Source organism: Homo sapiens, chromosome 7 (assembly GCF_000001405.40).
Source record: "Homo sapiens chromosome 7, GRCh38.p14 Primary Assembly".
NCBI lineage: Eukaryota > Metazoa > Chordata > Mammalia > Primates > Hominidae > Homo > Homo sapiens.
In genome coordinates, this window is record NC_000007.14 from 64587124 (window position 1) to 64600106 (window position 12983).

Consider the following 12983-nt stretch of genomic DNA (forward strand, 5'->3'; position numbering starts at 1 on the left):
AGGGAATTCTTCCCACATTCCCCTTGTCAGCTTTGTTGAAGATCAGATGGTTGTAGATGTGTGGCATTATTTCTGGGCTCTATTCTGTTGCATTGGTCTATGAATCTGTTTTTGTACTAGTGCCATGCTGCTTTAATTACTGTAGTTCTTTAGTATAGTTTGAAATTGGGTGATGTAATGTCTCCAGCTTTGTTCTTTTTGCTTAGAAGTGCCTTGGCTATTTGGGCTCTTTGTTGGTTCCATGTGAATTTTTAAATAGTTTTGTTGTTGTTGTTGAGCATGTTTTTGGTAGTTTGGTAGGAATAACATTAGATCTGTACATTTCTTTTTTTTTTTTTTTTTTTTGAGACAGAGTCTCGCTCTTTCACCCAGGCCAGATTGCAGTGGCACTATCTTGGCTCACTGCAAGCTCTGCCTCCTGGGTTCACGCCATCCTCCTGCCTCAGCCTCCCAAGTAGCTGGGACTACAGGTGCCCACCACCACGCCTGGCTAATTGTTTGTATTTTTAGTAGAGATGGGGTTTCACTGTGTTAGCCAGGATGGTCACGATCTCCTGACCTCGTGATCTGCCTGCCTCAGCCTCCCAAAGTGCTGGGATTACAGGCGTGAGCCACTGGGCCCGGCCTATGGATTGGCTTTTTGATGTGCTGCGGGATTCAGTTTGCCAGTATTTTGTTGAAGATTTTTGCATCAGTGGTCATCAAGAATATTGGCCTGAAGTTTTCTTTTTCTGTTTTAGCTCTGCTAGGTTTTGGTATCAGAATGATGCTATTCTTATATAATATGTTGGGGAGGAGTGCCTTAATTTTTTGGAATAGTTTTAGAAGAAATGGTAGCAGCTCTTTTTTGTACCTCTGGTAAAATTCAGCTGTGAATCTCTCTGGTCCTGGGGTTTTCTTGGTTGCTAGGTTACTTATTAGTAATTCAGTTTTGAAGCTTGTTATTGGTCTATTCAGGGATTCAATTTTTGTTGTTGTTCAGTTTTGTTAGGATGTATTCAGAAATTTATTCATTTTAGATTTTCTAGTTTGTGTGCGTAGAGGTGTTCATAGTAGATTTCAATAGTTATTTGTATTTTAATGTCTAAATCTCCTTTAGTACAGATCTAATTTTGGTTATTATTTGCCTTCTGCTAGCTTAGGGGTTGGTTTTCTCTTGCTTCTCTCATACTTTTATTATGTTAGGTTGTTGAGAACTTTTTAACTTTTTTTTTTTTGAGACAGAGTCTCACTCTGTCGCCCAGGCTGGAATGCAGTGGCGTGATCTCGGCTCACTGCAAGCTCTGCCTCCCAGGTTCACGCCATTCTCCTGCCTCAGCCTCCTGAGTAGCTGGGACTACAGGCACCCGCCATCACGCCCAGCTAATTTTTTGTATTTTTAATACAGACAGGGTTTCACCGTGTTAGCCAGGATGGTCTTGATCTCCTGACCTCGTGATCCGCCCACCTTAGCCTCCTAAAGTGCTGGGGTTACAGGCGTGAGCCACCACACCCGGGCCCACTTTTTAACTTTTTGATGTGAGCATTTAGTGCTATAAATTTTCCTCTTAACACTGCCTTAGCTGTGTTGCAGAGATTCTGGTATGTTGTACTTTGTTCTCATTTGTTTCAAATAATGTTTTGATTTCTGCCTTAATTTCATTATTTACCCAAGAGTCATTCAGGTGCAGCTTGTTTAATTTCCATGTAATTATATGGTTTCAAGTGGTTATCTTTGTATTGAATTATATTTTTATCAAGCTGTGATCTGAGTGTGTGGTTGGTATGATTTTGGGATGTTTGAATTTGCTAAGAATTGTTTTATTTCTGATTGTGTGGTCAATATTTTAGAGTATGTGCCACATGGTGATGGAGAATAATGTATATTATGTTGTTTTTAAATAAAGTTCTGTAGATGTCTATTTAGGAGAGTTCTGTGGATGTCTATTAGGACCATTTGTTCGAGTGATGAGTTTGGGTCCTAATATCTTCATAAAATTCCTGCCTCAGTGATCTATTAGTGTTTCTGGGGTGTTGTCTCTTGTTATTGTGTGAGAATCCAAGTTTCTTCATAAATCTCTAAGAATTTGCTTTTTAAATAACACCTTTCTCTCTTCTGCTTTTCTCCCCACAAACATTCTTTCAGTGTGCAAAATTCAGATGTCCTGGAGTTCAAGAACATGTCCAGAGACCTGGCTATTGTAGGAGAAAATATAAATTAGAAAGAAGAGGCTTTGGCTGGGCGTGGTGGCTCATGCCTGTAATCCCAGCACTTTGGGAGGTCGAGGCGGGTGGATCACAAGGTCAGGAGTTTGAGACCAGCCTGGCCAATATGGTGAAACCCCGTCTCTACTGAAAATACAAAAATTAGCCAGGTATGGTGGTGCACGCCTGTAGTCCCAGCTACTCGGGAAGCTGAGGCAGGCAAATCGCTTGATCCCGGGAGGCTGAGGTTGCAGTGAGCCAAGATCAGGCCACTGCACTCCTTTCTGGGCTACAGAGCAAGACTATGTCACAAAAAAAAAGAAATGAGTCTTTATTCTCCTTTGTTAAAAATAAGAGAGGATATTTTGCCAATCTCTCTTTTCTTAAAGCATTCAGATTATATGTAGATTTTTTCTTTGTTTTGAAAGATATGTAAATCATAGTAACAGCCATAGAAACCTTTTGTTACTATTTTTGACTCAAGATTGTCTTTATCTAGTACCTCAGATTTATTTGTTTTTGTTTTTTTATTTTTGGTCTTTTAAAGTAGACTGATTTGTTTAGATTAGAGCTCATTTTAAGACACACAAAAGTTGAGCACAAGGATAGGATTAAATTTAGCAGTACAGAATGATAGACTTTACTATACTGAGTAAGTTCTTTTGACAAAAAATACTGATTATCCAAAGTAGTTATGCAATATTTGCAGGCTGAAGTACTTACACTGCAAAAGGTTCAGTGTATGAAAAGTGAAGTCTGGAGTTGTACTTTGATTTCTGTTTATTTCTTCAGAACAGTAAGAATAGTTATGTGTAGTGTTTGTAGAAAAAATTAAACAGTATTTTCTACAATAGTATGAATATAAAGCCACAGTATTTACTTTGAATAGATCCCTTAAATGGTCATTTTAAATCGTTATTCATACTTCTGCAATATAAAGGGTTTTAATTGAATTATGGTTACAGACAACTTAAAAAATTTTTATGTACATTATGGCTAGTACACAAATTATACTTAGATATTTACATCTAATATCCAAAGAAAATTCACTACCAAATTGTTACAGTAGATATTAGTCTCACATGCTTATTAATTTATCCAAAGGCATAATTATAGGTAAGCATGATTTTAGTGTCTTTCATTTCACTAAATTGGAATGCTGCTATTACAGGACAAATAAACAAGGACGATGTGGGCACCCAAAAACCATAATACCTCTTTAGTTAGCCATGTTGCAAACTCAAATATATTCCACTGTATGAACAAAGTCATATTTCAATTCTTCATCCAAAAAGTGCTGATGGAAATTGTCAGATGTATTTCAATATAAATCCCCTATTCAATGGCTAGGAGATGAGAGCCCCAGAGATGGGAGAGAAACCTTACTAAATTCTGCTGAGAATATGCCCCCTTTCTTCATAACACTCATGTTTCTCATGCTGAGAGTAGCTGTGCACTTTGAGTGTTTAGAAAGAAATTTCGTTTAGGGGAATATTTTCTGGTAAACTTGATCAATCTTATATCTAATCTGAGTTTTTTAAAGAATGCTTTTAACTTCTTTTTCTCAATATAATCTTGCTCAGACTGAGAGCTGTTTTTCTTCCAATGCTTTGGGTTTCTGTTTCAGAAGCCCTATTAATATCCCATGGTGTCTATGAATGAGGTGGGCTATCATAGTGAAAACCCTTGGAGCTATCTCTATCCGGACTTGTCTTGGAAATCCAGCAGTATTTTTTCATGTCACCTAGAAAGTGAGGCTGAAACACTGCTCCCGTTTCCATTCTTGCGAAGGTGCAGTCCTACCCAGGAGGCCTGCAGGCTCTCCTGCAGCTCAGGCCTCACTCTCTGACGCGGCACTGGAGTGATGTTGTGGCAATTGGTGTCCATGTAATATGTGAGCTGTATGCTGTGGGCTGTGCCTCAGTAGCAGATGGTAGGGGTCAAAAGATGACACCAGCCACCAGTAGAAGGCAAGTAGGTGTGCTACATACAGCCCAGTGCTCAGGGAGTAGACAGCCATTGCTTTAAAATGTAAATGATCAAAAAGATAGTGCCCTTTTCAATCATTTTTGTAAAAGAGTGAGAGCCTACCTTCAGCATGCACCTGGATTCAAGTTGTAAAATTACCACTTGTCATGAAGATGTGAGTTTATTTTGTCATTGTTTATATCAATTAGCACACATGCATGGCCTCCCCCAATTGACAGGTGAATTCAGGATAAACTATGTATGACATGGTGTGCAAATTCTTCTGCTTGTGGATTAATTATGGTGACCATATTTTTCTCTTTACAATCTCTTAAGGAGATTGACTGATGCATGTCACATTCTGATTTAATTGTGTAGTAAAACAGTTTTTTTTTTGTTTTTTTTTTTTTTTTTTCTATTCTATCATTGTGAAGTTACTCTGGGGCTGGGGAAAATTTTTATTTTAATTACATTTCCCAAACACTGTCTAGAATTACCAGACGTAATATAAACATGTAAGGTGACAACCAAGGTTTACTCTAGAGGGGCCTTTCTCTCTCAGGCTTCCAGTCAACTCACAATTGTGCTGCACAGTGGATTTTGTTTCCTAAATGTGCAGGCAGAATTGTTTCTCTGCCTATTTGGTATCTATAGTCCTCTACAGTCACATCTGGAGAGGTTAGACTAGATTTCTACACACTTCATTAGGCACCAGTCAACCATTTTACCTCTTTCAATGAATCCTATATCTTTTTTTTTTTTTTTTTAAGAGGAGTTTCACTCTTGTTGCCCAGGCTGGAGTACAATGGTGCAATCTCAGCTCACTGCAACCTCCGACTCCTGGATTCAAGCAATTCTCCTGCCTTAGCCTCCCGAGTAGCTGGGATTACAGGCATGCACCACCATGCCTGGCTAATTTTGTATTTTTAGTAGAGACAGGGTTTCTCCATGTTGGTCAGACTGGTCTCAAACTCCCGACCTCAGGTGATCCATCTGCCTCGGCCTCCCAAAGTGCTGGGATTACAGGCGTGAGCCACCGCGCCTAGCCAATGACTCCTATATCTTTTTTTTTTTTTTTTAGATGGAGTTTCACTCTTGTTGCTCAGGCTGGAGTGTAATGGCGCAACCTCCACCTTCCAGGTTCAAGCGATTCTCCTGCCTCAGCCTCCCAAGTAGCTGGGATTACAGGCGCCCAAAAAATAAAGACATATACACACAGAATGTGTTTCATGGGTTTGTTTAGGTAATGCCCATATATGCATGTTTGGTAATAAAGCCTCAGAAGAAAAGTAGATCAGAGGTCATGTCTCTTCCCAACCAAGGCAGAACAGGTGAATTCAATAAGCCAACTTTAGGAAAAATGAAGACAACTGATTTTCATATTTTTTGCTGGCTCTTTAAAGTTTACAGAACAAACAAAAAGCAGCCATGTCTGAATAAATCTGCATTGGGAAAACAACATTTTCATGTGTACTAATGTAATGTTTATTAAGCAGGTGCTATGTGCTGAAGAGATTGTTACAGGACGCCCGCAACCATGCCCAACCAATTTTTGTATTTTAAATAGAGATAGGGTTTCACCATGTTGGTCAGGCTGGTTTTGAACCCCTGACCTCAGGTGATCCACCCGCCTTGGCCTCCCAAAGTGCTGGAATTACAGGCGTGAGCCAGTGCCCAGCCAGTGTGTATATGTTTATCCACAATCTTATATTTAAATGTAAATTTAAAAATCCCCCACAAATAACTAGGTCAGAGGTTCTTTCCATAGCCTTTACCTCCAGGCCAGGTGAATCCAATCAGCCAATTCACTTTGTGAAGATTTATCTAATACAAGCCAAACACCAAACCACATTTTTTAATGTGAAAATGTCCTTGATACTGGCTCCAAGGTGTTTTAAATTTAGTTTTTCATTAAATGAGCCCACTTGTGGTTCTAACCATTCATCTATAAACAGTCAGAGATGCCTAACAACAGTGGGCCTAGACTTCGTCCAAACAAGCTCTGGCCTGCTTAATAAAATCCACCTTTGACACTTCAGCACATGTTCACTATTACCTGGTAGAAATGTGGTCAGGTAGGCTGGGCACTGTGGCTCACGCCTGTAATCCCAGCACTTTGAGAGGTGGAGGCACGTGGGTAAACTGAGGTCAGGAGTTCGAGACCAGCCTGGCCAACATGGTGAAACCCCGTCTCTACTAAAAATATAAAAATTAGCTGAGCATGGTGGTGCACACCTGTGATCCCAGCTACTTGGGAGGCCGAGGCAGGAGAATCGCTTGAACCTGGGAGGCAGAGGTTGCAGTGAGTCGAGGTCATGCCATTGTACTCTAGCCTGGGTGACAGAGTGAGACTCTGTCTCAGAAAAAAAAAAAAAAAAAAGTGGTCAGTTACCATCTACCATAATTTTACTTTTAGTATCACAGTATATCTTCTGAAAACAGACCTAGACTTTCTTTTCTTTACCATGAAGACCCTACTCTAGCCACAAAGATGTAAATACAAAAGTGTACTTTTACATCCCACACTCATAGAAACAAATTAACCCCTATCTTGACAGAAGCTATAAGAAGAAATAAGCATTCTGAAATTTGGGTGAGTGCTTTTATACTGAGGCTGGTTCATATGCGAGCCCATTTTTACCAGAAAAAGAGGAGTCAACCTTGACCTGGCAATGAATGATTCCCATGACCTTTTAATTTCAATTTTAGTCTCACATAATTCCCATTTTAGTATCACAAAATTGAGCAAAACGGACCAATGCTTCCTTTATATATATAAAATGCAACAGGATGTTGTACTATTGTAGATATAATTTTTAGGGTATAGAAGTTTATACCTGCATGAAAGTTTTTTTAATTTCAGTATCAATACTTCTACCACCTATATCTTTATTCTGTATAAATATGGATACAAAATTGCATCAAATACATCTGCATATAAACATATTTTTTCTAGGACCTATTCCTAGAACTATGTGAATAGGATGCTATTCACATCTAGCATTTGGAGCCTGAGTTGAGGAATCTGCAGTTCCTATTTAGATAATTGACTGGATGTACCCACCTAGGCTGAGCTGATTGGCTGATAGAAATCATCTAAGGTGAGCTAATTGGCTAATTAGATACACCTGGGCTGAGGCAACTGGCTAGTTGAAATCACCTAATTTTACTCCCTTTAAACGTCAGGTGCCCACTTGGGTTTCTCCCAAGTGCACTTTCCTTCTTGCCCACTCCTGCTCTGGGAAAAAAAAAAAAACAACACAAAACCTAATTTTGTGTGTGTGTGTGTGTGTGTGATGGAGTCTCATTCTGTCACCCAAGCTGGAGTGCAATGGCGTGGTTTTGGCTCACTGCAGGCTCCGCCTCCTGGGTTCAAGCCATTCTCCTGCCTCAGCCTCCTGAGTACCTGGGATTACAGGTGCCCGCTGCCACACCCAGCTAACTTTTGTATTTTTTTTTTTTTTTTTTTTTTTTAGTAACGGGGTTTCACCACTTTGGCTAGGCTGGTCTTGAACTCCTGACCTCATCATCCTATGGAATGAGACCACCACTTCTCCTGTTGTCCTTCCCAGTTTCTCCCCAACCTCCCCTTTTCCCTAGCTTATAAGACAGGAGAAAAGGGAGAAAGCAAAAAGTTGGAAAGAAACAGAAGTAAGATAAATAGCTAGACACCCTTGGCGTCACCACCTGGCCCTGGTGGTTAAAATAATAATAATAATATTAACCCCTGACCAAAACTACTGGTGTTATCTGTAAATTCCAGACATTGTATGCAAAAGCACTGTAAAACTTTTTGTTCTGTTAGCTGATGTATGTAGCCCCCAGTCACGTTGCTCACCTTACTTGATCTATTATGACTTTCACGTAGACCCCTTAGAGTTGTAACCCCTTAAAAGGGCTAGGAATCTCTTTTTCGGGGAGCTCGGCTCTTAAGACGCGAGTCTGCCGATGCTCCCGGCCACATAAAAAACCTCTTCCTTTAATCCGGTGTCTGAGGAGTTTTGTCTGTGACTCGTCCTGCTACAATCCGCCCACCTCGGCCTCCCAAAGTGCTGGGATTACAGGTGTGAGCCACCTCGCCCCCCTCTGAAAGAACCTAATTTTATAATTTGCTGATTGGAATCATCTGGGCTGAGATAATTTGCTAATTTTAGAAAAACTGTCCTGGCTGGGCGCTGTGGCTCACTCCTGTAATCCTAGAGCTTTGTGAGGCCGAGGTGGGTGGATCACCTGAGGTCGGGAGTTTGAGACCAGCCTGGCCAACATGGTGAAACCCCATCTCTACTAAAAATACAAAAATTAGCCAGGTGTGGTGGCGCACGCCTGTAATCCGAGCTACTCAGGAGGTCGCTTGAACCCAGGAGGTGGAGGTTACAATGAGCTGAGATCACACCACTGCACTCCAGCCTGGGCGACAGAGCCAGACTCCGTTCCCTTCCCCCTGCGTCATCCCCCCACTTCCCCCAAAAAAAACAACCAACTGACCTGAGCTAATTACCTAGTTGGATTTACAAGTACTGAGTGGGTGGGATGAGTAGAGAATTCTCATCTGACTCAGTTTTATTTCAAGGCTTTATTACAAGACATAATACACATATTTATATAACCCTGTGTGTTTGTATTTTTAACCTATCTACATTTTTATACTGTATCTAAATCCATAGAGTAAAGCTTCCAAAATAAACTGAAATGTGCTTTTAATATCATAGTCTATCTTTAAGTAACAACTCTTGGCTTTTCTTTTTTACCCCATAATTCACTTTTCCAGCCAAAGAATCCCACATAAATATGATATGTTATTCCTATGTCACATTTTCAAAAAAACAGATACCCTATACTGATGAAAGCTGTGAAGAAAAATTTCTAGCACTTTCAAATTTGAGGGAGAGCTTTTAAGCTGAAGCTACTTTATCTTTAGTTCTGTGTTCACCAGAATTAGAGTGGTCAGCCTTGACCTTGCAATAAATGTTTCTCGTGGCCTTAGTGCATTTTCTTTTTGTTTTAAATCTTATTTTACTTTAAGTTCCTGGATACACGTGCAGAACGTGCAGGTTTGTTACATAGGTATACATGTGCCATGGTGCTTTGGTGCACTGATCAACCCGTCATCTAGGTTTTAAGCCCCACATGCATTAGGTATTTGTCCTAATGCTCTTCCTCCCATTGCCCCCGACTCCCCCGACAGGCCCTGGTGTGTGTTGTTCTCCTCCCTGTGTCCATGTGTTCTCACTGTTCAACTCCCACTTATGAGTGAGAACATGCGGTGTTTTGTTTGCTGAGGATGATGGCTTCCAGCTTCATCCATGTCCGTGCAAAAAACATGATCTCATTTTTATGGCTACATAGTATTCCATGGTGTATATGTATCACATTTTCTTTATCCAGTCTATCATTGATGGGCATTGGGTTGGTTCCATGTCTTTGCTATTGTAAAGTGCTGCAATAAACATACATGTGCATGTGTCTTTATATTAGAATCATTTATATTCCTTTGAGTATATATCCAGTAATGGGATTGCTGGGTCAAATGGTATTTCTGGTTCTAGATCCTTGAGGAATTACCACACTGTCTTCCACAATGGTTGAACTAATTTACACTCCCACCAACAGTGTAAAAGCATTCCTATTTCTCCACAGCCTTGCCAGCATCTTTTATTTCTTGACTTTTTAATAGTCACCATTCTGACTGAATCCTGACTATTTCTGCTTCAAGCAAACCTCCATGACCGGGGTGAACCCAGGTTCTGCCTGTTCCCAAACCCTAGCCTTGGCCTCTTTGTCTCTGGGCTTAGCATCCTTACGTGGCACAGAAAGCTCAAAGCTCCTGGCTTGCTCACATCATTAAAATGCCACATTATGAAGACTCAGTGAAAGCATGAAGCTGGATAATTGTATGTTCAAATACTTTCTTTTTCTTTTTTTTTTTTTTTTTTTTTGAGACGGAGTCTGGCTCTGTCGCCCAGGCTGGAGTGCAGTGGCGCGATCTCCGCTCACTGCAAGCTCCGCCTCCCGGGTTCACGCCATTCTCCTGCCTCAGCCTCCCGAGTAGCTGGGACTACAGGCGCCCGCACCACGCCCGGCTAATTTTTTGTATTTTTAGTAGGGACCGGGTTTCACCGTGTTAGCCAGGATGGTCTCGATCTCCTGACCTCATGATCCGCCCGCCTCGGCCTCCCAAAGTGCTGGGATTACAGGCGTGAGCCACCGCGCCTGGCCCAGTTCAAATACTTTCAACAAGTGCAAATGTATAGGCTTAAAGAAATAGAACTGGCCAGGTGTGGTGGCTCATGCCTGTAATTCCAGCACTTTGAGAGGCTGAGGTGGGTGGATCACTTGAGGTCAGGAGTTCAAGACCAGCCTGGCCAACATGGTGAAACCCCATTTCTACTAAAAATACAAAATTAGGCTGGGGTCTGTGGCTCATGCCTGTAATCCCAGCACTTTGGGAGGCCGAGGAGGGTGGATCACCTGATGTCAGGAGTTTGAGACCAGCCTGGGCAAACATGGCGAAACCCCGTCTCTACTAAAAATGCAAAAATTAGCTGGGCATGGTGGCGCATGCCTGTAATCCCAGCTACTAGGGAGGCAGAAGTTGCAGTGAGCTGAGATCACGCCACTGGACGCCTGGGTGACAGAGCGAGACTGTCTCAAATAATATATATACGTATATATACACACACATACGTACATATGTATAAATATGTATATGTGTATATATGTATGAATGTGTATATATGAATATATATACACAATGTATGTATATATGTGTATGTGTGTATATATGCATGTATATATGTGTGTGTATGTGTATATGTATGTGTATATGTGTGTGTGTATATTTATATATGTATGTATACATATGGGTTTATATATATATGTGAAAACAATTATGTGCACTTTTTAGACCCAAGAGTTGAATCCCTGGAACTTAACAGCACAAGGATTTTTCAGGCAATACAGAGAGTTGCATGAATACAATAATCTTTTTAAATTCATAATTTGAGTTAACTTTTAGATAACTCTTGAATTAGACAAAATTATTCATTTTTCAATGAGAACCTATCTTTTTGGCACATTTAATATAAACCTATGAAGCAAAAATTTGTGAACTGCCCATCAGATATGAGCATTTCATAGATGAGGACCATTCCACAATTTTGAAACAGATTTTCAAAATACTATTTTTTATCTTATCTATGTACCCAATTTTTTCATTTTTAGCCATTTATTTAGACTACTTCTGAAAACTGAGATATTACACAAAGGTAGTTATTATTTAAAGTTATTTGTTAACCATTTTAAAGCTTGAGAACATTAGGTGTTTATGTAAAAACCTTTAAGTTAAATACACGGACATTTTGTTGATAACTCAGAATGTGTAGCTTTTTAAATACACCGTATTAAATGTCTCATTTATTAAAAATCACAAAAAGATTATTCTGCCTTGAGCTGGGTTTATAGTTTTATAATTTTCATGCTAAATGTTGACACCTAATGAAATATGGCACAGAGGTGATATTGTGACTGTTGCACACCCAGATGACAGTAAAGATTGTCATTCTTTAACAGTAACACAACCCACCACTGAGGCTCTGAATCTCACATTAGGAAGCTGACAAAAGTTGGAAAATTGCCTCTCATAGGTGAATCCTGTCCACAGGTGGGTTGGTGACTCTCAGACCAAGATTCAGCACAGCTGTGAGGCTGTGACTTCACTAAGGGTACACAGTCTGCAGGAGGGACTGAGGCTGTCATGCGTGGATCCAGTCCACTGTTGAAATTGTGAGTCATATACTGAGACCCAACATATAGGAAGTGTTGCCTCATACCTATAACTGGGAAATGTACAGGATTGTTCATTTTATCCCTGGACTTCCCTGCAGGTGTGACTGAGAAATAAACCTCTGCCCAGCCTTTGACTTATTTGACTTTTCTGCCTCAGACCAGCCCACCTATGGGATTGTGATATGTCACTAGACCCCACAACTAGGTATTGTGACTCTATTCTCCTTCCTTGGCACTGTCTAAAGGGGGCATATGATATATTGCTTATCCTTAAAGTCAGGTGATGTCAGTCTCTTCTGCCTTGGCACTGCTTATAGGGGGCATTGTGACATATCACTGGGCTCTACACCCATAACTCACATTATGTAACTCTCCATTCCTGGGCCCTGCTCATAGTGGCCATTGTGACATATTGCTGACTCCGAAACCCAGGTGATGTAACTCTTCTGCCTTGGCCCAGCCTGCAGAGGGCATTGTGACACACCTCTGCAAACATCACCAAGGTGATTTGACTCTTCTGACAATTCCATGTCCCAAAAGGTGATTGTGACATATCACTGAGCTCAGCACCTAGCTGATGTGACCTTTTTCTTCCTAGGTTCTGCCTGCAAAGAAGATTGTGACATATTGCTGGTTGCAACACCACGGTGATGTTACTTTTTGCCTTCTCACTGCCCTCAGAAGGCATTGTGATATGTTGGTGGTCCCAGCTTCAAAGAAATGTAAGTATCCTCTCTGGACCCTTCCCACAAAGGGCATTGTAACATATCTCTGCACCCATCAACTATTTGATATGACTCTCTTCTCTGACCTGGGCTCTGCCCACAGGAGTCATTGTGACATGTTTCTGGGCCCGTCACCTAGTTGATGTGACTCTCCTCTGCCTAGGCCCTGTCCATGATGGGGATTGTGACATACTGCCTGATCAAGCACCTAAATGGTGTGACCCTTTTCTCATGCCTGGACCCTGCCCAATAAAGCAATTTTAACATATAGCTGAACTCATCTTCTAAGTTATGTGACTCTCTGCTTTGATTTGAGCCCTA

General features: G+C 40.8%; 1 long non-coding RNA gene and 1 pseudogene across 1 annotated transcript in view; one reads left to right on the plus strand and one right to left on the minus strand.

Moving 5' to 3' along the window:
• The window catches only part of LOC100128885 (uncharacterized), a 43895-nt gene that overhangs the window by 12429 nt on the left and 18483 nt on the right, over window positions 1-12983 (plus strand). Inside the window, exon 2 of the long non-coding RNA NR_077227.1 lies at window positions 12536-12659. This is a non-coding gene — a long non-coding RNA (uncharacterized LOC100128885). The remainder of the gene's footprint in view (window positions 1-12535; window positions 12660-12983) is intronic.
• Window positions 3476-4010, minus strand: BNIP3P44 (BNIP3 pseudogene 44; annotated as a pseudogene).